Source organism: Homo sapiens, chromosome 18 (genome assembly GCF_000001405.40).
Source record: "Homo sapiens chromosome 18, GRCh38.p14 Primary Assembly".
Classification (NCBI taxonomy): Eukaryota; Metazoa; Chordata; class Mammalia; order Primates; family Hominidae; genus Homo; species Homo sapiens.
Window position 1 is genome coordinate 2,339,785 of NC_000018.10, and position 9,785 is coordinate 2,349,569.

The following is a 9,785-nucleotide window of genomic DNA, read 5'->3' on the forward strand; positions in this document are numbered from 1 at the left end:
CCCGGCTAATTTGTGTGTGTGTGTGTGTTTAGTAGAGACGGGGTTTCACCGTTTTAGCCAGGATGGTCTCGATCTCCTGACCTCGTGATCCGCCCGCCTCAGCCTCCCAAAGTGCTGGGATTACAGGCGTGAGCCTCCGCGCCCGGCCCACACATTACCTTTTATCCAGAACTTTACTGCAACCAGCCCCTAAGTATTGTGTGGTCTCCTCCTGCTCTGATCCCCACCCGCTTTGTAAAGTAATGTGATCATTATATAATCAGAGTTATTATACAACTTATTGGACAAGATGACTTAATTGTTGTGTCAGTCCAAATGACCCGGCTAATCTGCATATTCTTTATTCATCATTAAAATGAACAGGAATTTCCCAGCTCTAATAGTATTCTATTGGGTTGACTCAAATAAAATCTGCACCAGCAAACCCACCCTCTGACCCATATATACCTTTCCGATATAGTCGGAAAGAACATTTGTTACATTTCTCATAGCAATAATAATATTGTGGATCATTCCTCTTCCTTTCATGGAACACTTGCCAATAATGTTTTCTTCTTCATTCGTCTCCTCTGACTCTTTTGCTGTTCAATAGCAGGCAGGGAAATTTAAAGTCTTCTCTACCCAGCAAGGATCGCTAAAATGAGAGCTAACTCAAGCATCTGACACTTCCTGCCATGTTCTCTCTAGCCCTCCTAACACCCAAGAAACTCACTCTATAAATTCAGCGGTCTTGACAGAGGGATGGAGTTCTACATGACATGTTCATTAAACTAAGTATTTATACGCCCATTATGTAAACATGATATATCATTCCCCAGCTCTGAGGCAGCTGCATGATATATATGGATATTCACTTAAAGCCTCAGCTTTATGAATTGTATTCCTTGGAGATACCAGCAGCTCCAACAACTAGGTACACAGTCAATAATTACTTTCATCTTCCTCCTTTTATTTACTCTTTAAGAGATTCATTAAGATGAAGAATGACTGCACTGCTTTGCTAAGCCTTTTTGATTACTTTCCTAATTCATTTATCATGAACTTTGGAACTATTAGTTTAGTTTTCACTACTTCTAGCCATCTAGAATCTTGTTTTATTTAAACAAGGTTCTGCATCCTCACTGGTTTTCTTCGGACAGGCCCTTTGGCTTATACACTATTTATTCGAAGTGACACATGGTAGAATTTTTCCTTTATAAAGATACACAAGAGTGTAATGCGCATGGTTACTGAGAGTTGCTATATGTGTTAAAATTGGTACTGGATCACTCACAAAACTTTTTAAATCTCTATTCAATGCTATAGTCTCAAATCCCTCCACGAAGCGGAGCGCTAAAGGGAGAAGGGTGGAGAGCACATACAACAAGCTAGGCCTAGTTCCAAATGCCATTGCACACAACAGGGCACTTAGTTTTCACAGCAACCCTGCAAAGTATGTAATACTACATCTACTTTACAGATAAAGAAGTTATGGCTCAAAAAGAACAGTCACTTACTCAATTTCATGCAGTAAGTACTGAGCTTAGAATAACTGCACTAAGTGGCTGGTGCCTGGTTCTGTTGACCTCTCCCCTCCCCTTTGATAATCCTAAGTACTCGAGAGTTCACCATATGCTAGATATACATGTAAGTCACTCGCATGAGATAAAGGCAAAGGTCCACATCACTTACACTTCTCTCTTCCTTTACCTTTTCTTCAGAGGATACCTACCAGGTACCTCTTACTCATGACAGACATGAATACAACTATATCAATGAAAACATTAAATGTGAATGGATTACAGAATCCAATCAAAAGGGAAAGATTGTTAGACTGCATAATAACATAATTCAACTATATGCTATCTACTAGAGACACACTTTAGACTTAAAGGTATTAATAAATTGAAAGCAAAAGGATAGAAATGGTTATATCATGCAAACTACGATCAAAAGAACACTGGAGTGCTATACCACTATCATACAAAATATGCCTTAAAACAAAAAAGCTAGAAATAAAAGGAACAATTTATAAACGTAAAAGAGACAAACAATCAGGTAGATATAACAATTATAACTATATGCACATAATAGCAGAATACCAAAATACACAAAACAAAGACTAACAGAAACGGAGAGAAAAATGAACAACAGTAATAGCTGCAGACTTTATTATCCCACTTTGAATAATGAATAGAACAACTAGACAGAAGAGTAACAATTAAATAGAAGGCTTGAATAACACTATAAACCAACTAGACCTAAAGGATATTTATAGAACCTTCCATCCAACCACAACAGAATAGATATTCTTCCCAAGTACACATAAAACATTCTTCGGGATAGAGCACATGTTCAGCCATAAAACCAACTGCAGTAAATTTAAAACAACAAAAATAATACAAAGTGTATTATATGACCACCATGGAATGAAATTAGAAATCAGTAACAGGAAAAATTTTGAGAAACTCACAAATATGTGAAAACGAAACAACACGTGCCTAAATAATCAATGGGTTGAAAAAGAAATAAAATGGAAAGTCAAAAATATTTTGAGATTAATTAAAATGAAGACACAACATATCAAAATTTATGGGACGCAGCTAAAGCAATGCTTAGAGAAAAATATATAGCTGTAAATGCCTATATTAAGAAAGACAATATCAAATCACATAAACTTTCACCTTAAGTTACTGGAAAAAGAAGAGCAAACTAAGTCCAAAGCAAGTAAAATAAAGTAAATAATAATGTTTATAGTTAGATTAATGAAATAGAGAATAGAAAAATAATATGGAAAAATTAATGAAACCAAAAGTTGGCTCTTTGACAAGATCAATAAAACTGACAAGCCATTAGCTATTCATATATTGACCACAAAACAAAGGAGAAGAAGCAAATTACTAGAATCATAGATGAAAGAGAGGACATTCCTAATGACCTACAGAAATAAAATAGCATAGAAGAATACTATTAAAAATTGTATGCCAATAAATTAGATTAAATGATGAAATCCCTAGAAGGACACAAACTAGTGAAACGGACTCAAGAAGAAATAGACAATCTGAATAGACCTAACAAGTGAATAGATTGAATTAATAGCACAAAAAACTACACACAAAGGAAAGCCTAGGGCAAGATGGCTTCACTGCTGTATTATATCAAACACTTAAAGAAGAAATAATACCAATTCTTATCAAACGTTGCAAAAAAATGGAAGAGGAGAAAACACGTCTTAGTTCATTTAATGAGGCCAGCTTTGCTCTCATACCAAAACCAGACTAAAACATCATACAAAAAAGAAAACTATAAATATGGATACAAAAACTTACAACAAAATATTAGCAAACAAAATCTAGCAACATATCAAAAGAATTATAATACATTTTTTTCAGCACCACACCACACCTATTCCAAAATTGACCACATAGTTGGAAGTAAAGCTCTCCTCAGCAAATGTAAAAGAACAGAAATTATAACAAACTGTCTCTCAGACCACAGTGCAATCAAACTAGAACTCGGGATTAAGAAACTCACTCAAAACTGCTCAACTACATGGAAACTGAACAACCTGCTCCTGAATGACTACTGGGTACATAACGAAATGAAGGCAGAAATAAAGATGTTCTTTGAAACCAACGAGAACAAAGACACAACATACCAGAATCTCTGGGACACATTCAAAGCAGTATGTAGAGGGAAATTTATAGCACTAAATGCCCACAAGAGAAAGCAGGAAAGATCCAAAATTGACACCCTAACATCACAATTAAAAGAACTAGAAAAGCAAGAGCAAACACATTCAAAAGCTAGCAGAAGGCAAGAAATAACTAAAATCAGAGCAGAACTGAAGGAAATAGAGACACAAAAAACCCTTCAAAAAATTAATGAATCCAGAAGCTGGTTTTTTGAAAAGATCAACAAAATTGATAGACCGCTAGCAAGACTAATAAAGAAGAAAAGAGAGAAGAATCAAATAGACGCAATAAAAAATGATAGAGGGGATATCACCACCGATCCCACAGAAATACAAACTACCATCAGAGAATACTACAAACACCTCTACGCAAATAAACTAGAAAATCTAGAAGAAATGGATAAATTCCTCAACACATACACCCTCACAAGACTAAACCAGGAAGAAGTTAAATCTCTGAATAGACCAATAACAGGCGCTGAAATTGTGGCAATAATCAATAGCTTACCAACCAAAAAAAGTCCAGGACCAAATGGATTCACAGCCGAATTCTACCAGAGGTACAAGGAGGAGCTAGTACCATTCCTTCTGAAATTATTCCAATCAATAGAAAAAGAGGGAATCCTCCCTAACTCATTTTATGAGGCCAGCATCATCCTGATACCAAAGCCAGGTAGAGACACAACAAAAAGAGAGAATTTTAGACCAATATCCTGATGAACACTGATGCAAAAATCCTCAATAACATACTGGCAAACCGAATCCAGCAGCACATCAAAAAGCGTATCCACCATGGCCAAGTGGGCTTCATCCCTGGGATGCAAGGCTGGTTCAAGATACGCAAATCAATAAATGTAATCCAGCATATAAACAGAACCAAAGACAAAAACCACGTGATTATCTCAATAGATGCGGAAAAGGCCTTTGACAAAATTCAACAACCCTTCATGCTAAAAACTCTCAATAAATTAGGTGTTGATGGGACGTATCTCAAAATAATAAGAGCTATCTATGACAAACCCACAGCCAATATCATACTGAATGGGCAAAAACTGGAAGCATTCCCTTTGAAAACTGGCACAAGACAGGGATGCCCTCTCTCACCACTCCTATTCAACATAGTGTTGGAAGTTCTGGCCAGGGCAATCAGGCAGGAGAAGGAAATAAAGGGTATTCAATTAGGAAAAGAGGAAGTCAAATTGTCCCTGTTTGCAGATGACATGATTGTGTATCTAGAAAACCCCATTGTCTCAGCCCAAAATCTCCTTAAGCTGATAAGCAACTTCAGCAAAGTCTCAGGATACAAAATCAATGTGCGAAAATCACAAGCATTCTTATACACCAATAACAGACAAACAGGGAACCAAATCATGAGTGAACTCCCATTCACAATTGCTTCAAAGAGAATAAAATACCTAGAAATCCAACTTTCAAGGGATGTGAAGGACCTCTTCAAGGAGAACTACAAACCACTGTTCAAGGAAATAAAAGAGGATACAAACAAATGGAAGAACATTCCATGCTCATGGGTAGGCAGAATCAATATCGTGAAAATGGCCATACTGTCCAAGGTAATTTATAGATTCAATGCCATCCCCATCAAGCTACCAATGACTTTCTTCACAGAATTGGAAAAAACTACTTTAAAGTTCATATGGAACCAAAAAAGAGCCCCCACCACCAAGTCAATCCTAAGCCAAAAGAACAAAGCTGGAGGCATCACACTACCTGACTTCAAACTATACTACAAGGCTACAGTAACCAAAACAGCATGGTACTGGTACCAAAACAGAGATATAGATCAATGGAACAGAACAGAGCCCTCAGAAATAATCCCGCATATCTACAACTATCTGATCTTTGACAAATCTGAGAAAAACAAGCAATGGGGAAAGGATTCCCTATTTAATAAATGGTGCTGGGAAAACTGGCTAGCCTTATGTAGAAAGCTGAAACTGGATCCCTTCCTTACACCTTATACAAAAATTAATTCAAGATGGATTAAAGACTTACATATTAGATCTAAAACCATAAAAACCCTAGAAGAAAACCTAGGCAATACCATTCAGGACATAGGCATGGGCAAGGACTTCACGTCTAAAACACCAAAAGCAATGGCAACAAAAGCCAAAATTGACAAATGAGATCTAATCAAACTAAAGAGCTCTGCACAGCAAAAGAAACTACCATCAGAGTGAACAGGCAACCTATAAAATGGGAGAAAATTTTCGCAACCTACTCATCTGACAAAGGGCTAATATCCAGAATCTACAATGAACTCAAACAAATTTACAAGAAAAAAACAACCCCATCAAAAAGTGGGCGAAGGATATGAACAGACACTTCTCAAAAGAAGACATTTATGCAGCCATAAAACACATGAAAAAATGCTCATCATCACTGGCCATCAGAGAAATGCAAATCAAAACCACAATGAGATACCATCCCACACCAGTTAGAATGGCAATCATTAAAAAGTCAGGAAACAACAGGTGCTGGAGAGGATGTGGAGAAATAGGAACACTTTGACACTGTTGGTGGGACTGTAAACTAGTTCAACCATTGTGGAAGTCAGTGTGGCAATTCCTCAGGGATCTAGAACTAGAAATACCATTTGAACCAGCCATCCCATTACTGGGTATATAACCAAAGGATTATAAATCATGCTGCTATAAAGACACATGTACATGTATGTTTATTGCGGCACTATTCACAATAGCAAAGACTTGGAACCAACCCAAATGTCCAAAAATGATAGACTGGATTAAGAAAATGTGGCACATATACACCATGGAATACTATGCAGCCATAAAAAATGATGAGTTCATGTCCTTTGTAGGGACATGGATGAAACTGGAAACCATCACTCTCAGCAAACTATCACAAGGACAAAAAACCAAACACCACATGTTCTCACTCATAGGTGGGAATTGAACAATAAGAACACCTGGACACAGGAAGGGGAACATCACACTCCAGGGACTGTTGTGGGGTGGAGGGAGGGGGGAGGGATAGCATTTGTTGATATACCCAATGCTAAATGATGAGTTAATGGGTGTAGCACACCAACATGGCACATGTATACATATGTAACAAACCTGCACATTGTGCACATGTACCTTAAAACTTTAAGTATAATAATAATAAAATAAAATAAAATAAAAAATTTAAAAAAAAGAATTATATATCATAACCAAATGGGATTTATCACAAGAATACAAAGCTGGTTTAATATCTGAAAAAACTTCATATCTATAGAATAAAAAACAAAAATTACATGATCATGTTAATAGATGAAGAAAAAGCATTTGACGAAATCCAACATCATTTCATGACAAGAACATTCAACGAACTAGTAATAGATGAGAACTCAATCAACAGGTTAAGGTTTATCAAAATGGCATGTACAAAAACCCACAGCTAACTTATCACACTTAATGGTGCAAGATTGGGTGCTTTTCCTCCAATATCAGAAACAAGACAAGGATATCCAGGCTTACCAACTCAATTCAACATTGTACTGAAGGCTCTAGCCAGGGCAACAAGGCAAGAGAACAACTGGCTTATCAGACATTAAAATGCATCAGTGTGAGCTGCAATTAACATTTAATGGCCGGGCGCATGGCTCACACCTGTATTCCCAGCACTTTGGGAGGCCGAGGCAGGCAGATCATGAGGTCAGGAGATTGAGACCATCGTGGCTAATACAGTGAAACTCCATCTCTACTAAAAATACAAAAAATTAGCCAGTCCTGGTGGCAGGCACCTGTAATCCCAGCTACTCGGGAGGCTGAGGCAGGGGAATCTCTTGAACCTGGGAGGCAGAGGTTGCAGTGAGCCGAGATTGCGCCACTGCACTCCAGCCTGGGCGACAGAGTGAGACTTCATCTCAAAAAAAACAAAAAAAAAACATTTAATATAAGTTGTTGGCTCTTTGAGAAGACAGTCACTTTAGAGCTACAATTCTACTCCAAAACACAAATTTCCCAATCTAACCCTACCCCAGCTTTAATTCTAACCTACTTTGCATGCCCTCATCAATACTTTATCCATTCAGCAAATATAGATATACACTATAACTTAATACCTTTTACCCAAGCTGTTTTCTTAACTTCTATTATATTTCTATTCAATAGAAGCTATTACCTACTTTTTCTCATAACCCCACAGTTGAATAAATGAATTAAAATTTTATGATCTTGGCTTCCTATTTTGTATATTCTTGAGTTCACAGAAAAACTCTCTAAATTTACAGAGCTTCACTTTCTCTAAAAGTACAAGGTAAGCACTCTTTCTGTCACTCAGGTGCTCCTTTTTCCCTTAAGCACCAGTGTCTCAGAATCTGCACTCAGCCAAAAGTGTGTAAGAGAAATACCATCTAATGAGTTCCATAATAGTTAATGTGCTTCATTTACTTTATAATGAAATGAGAAACTTATGCTTAGTATTGAGCCTGTCATTTAAAAATATTTGTTGAGTGGCTATTATATGTAGAATCTATACTAAACCCCCAGAGAATCAAATACAGTAAATAATAATAATAAACTGGGGAATATAAAGAACTCAATAGACCGACAGATACCAATCTGGGATGTAGTCACAGAGCTGTGATGTGATTTGAGCCAAGTCACATAATCCCTCTTTCGGTTCCCTTTTCTGAGAAAAAGAATTGTCTGTCTCAGGGATGGTAAAGAAATTTCATCTCAAGTGTCACATCCAGTTGATTGGTAATGATGTCTTGAGTTGTGGAAAGAAATATGAGGCTCAGTTCAGGTTCCATCAAAACAGTGCTATGATCAATTTGTGATGTCTAAGAACAGTCATAAGTGAGAGTCTTCAAAAGAGCAGGTTGACTACTCGCTATCTCTAAACTATTCACGTGTAAAGACTATTCATTTTTAATAAAATATGATCTGACTCATCATGCGTTATAACTTAATATCATCTTATATTGATGGTAAAGTTATTAGTAGCTGCTTTCCTTGATTTTAACTTGCCATTAATTATTGGTTTTACAGGGTACAACATTTTCTGTAAATGACTCAGAACATCTTGAATATTATTTTTATAATACATTCAGTATTTAACTAAAGATATCAATTGCATTTAATTATCTGAGTGAACAAAAAAATTAGGACAACGTTTATAAGAAGTGTTGAACAAAAAATCCTCTTTGATAAGAACGCTCATTGTCTGAATTCAAAATATCATTTTATGTGTCATCTTAAAACATCACATTTCTCCATTTTTTTCCTGTGGTTTAATTACAGACCACAATTTGCTATCAATATAGACTATAACTATGCAATAGTTTGATGCCTTGTTTTTTTAATGTGAGATATATAGATATATATATATTCCACAAATATGTGTATTTGAAGCTTTAATTTGAATGCCAAGCAAATGATTTTTTCATTAATCAAGTTGCAAAACTATGAACAAAAGAGATGAAATGGTGTAATTTTAAAAAGTGATTATTTTGTCACAATCTTAATTTTGAGACATTTATCAATGGTTAGCCAAATGTGATCCACCTAGAATTGTGAACTGACGTCTGATACACTGATCTCTTGAATAATGCAGTATTAATGTTATTCAAATTCCATCGGTTCAATAAGACGTCAGTCATTTCTTATTTCCCCAAGTAAAACCACACTTGTTCTTTTACAAAATTACCTTATTCTATTTCAACAGAACATTATTAATGTTATGTTATTTCTCTTTTTCTCTTAATAGGGCCTTTGAAAAATGTTATTCGTATATTTTCTATTTTTTCATGGGAGAAGATAACATGTACATTTTTGTGCATATTGACATGAGTTATTTTTTACACAAACAGAAGAAATTTATTAAGATTTCTATTAAATTCATTACCTCATTTATTTTGAAATTAAAATTAAAATATTTCTTACTTATTTTACATGAAAATTCAGTAAGTGTATCTATCTGGCAAAATGGAGGGATTCTACTATATCAAAGTTTCACTATTTTCAGTTTATATTGCCCCAATGGTCCACCCTTTTTTATTTCCTTGGCTCTTCCATCAATTATTTAAAATAAATCATTTACATGCCACTCATTGCAACACTGGTTAAAATAACTATAAGCAGGG

General features: G+C 35.8%; 1 annotated feature.

Moving 5' to 3' along the window:
- Positions 8,252–8,452: a silencer, noted in NCBI's record as "peak3043 fragment used in MPRA reporter construct". NCBI's record gives its function as "represses an SCP1 promoter by STARR-seq MPRAs in K562 erythroleukemia cells {active_cell/tissue: K562}" and the evidence as "EXISTENCE:reporter gene assay evidence [ECO:0000049][PMID:32103011]".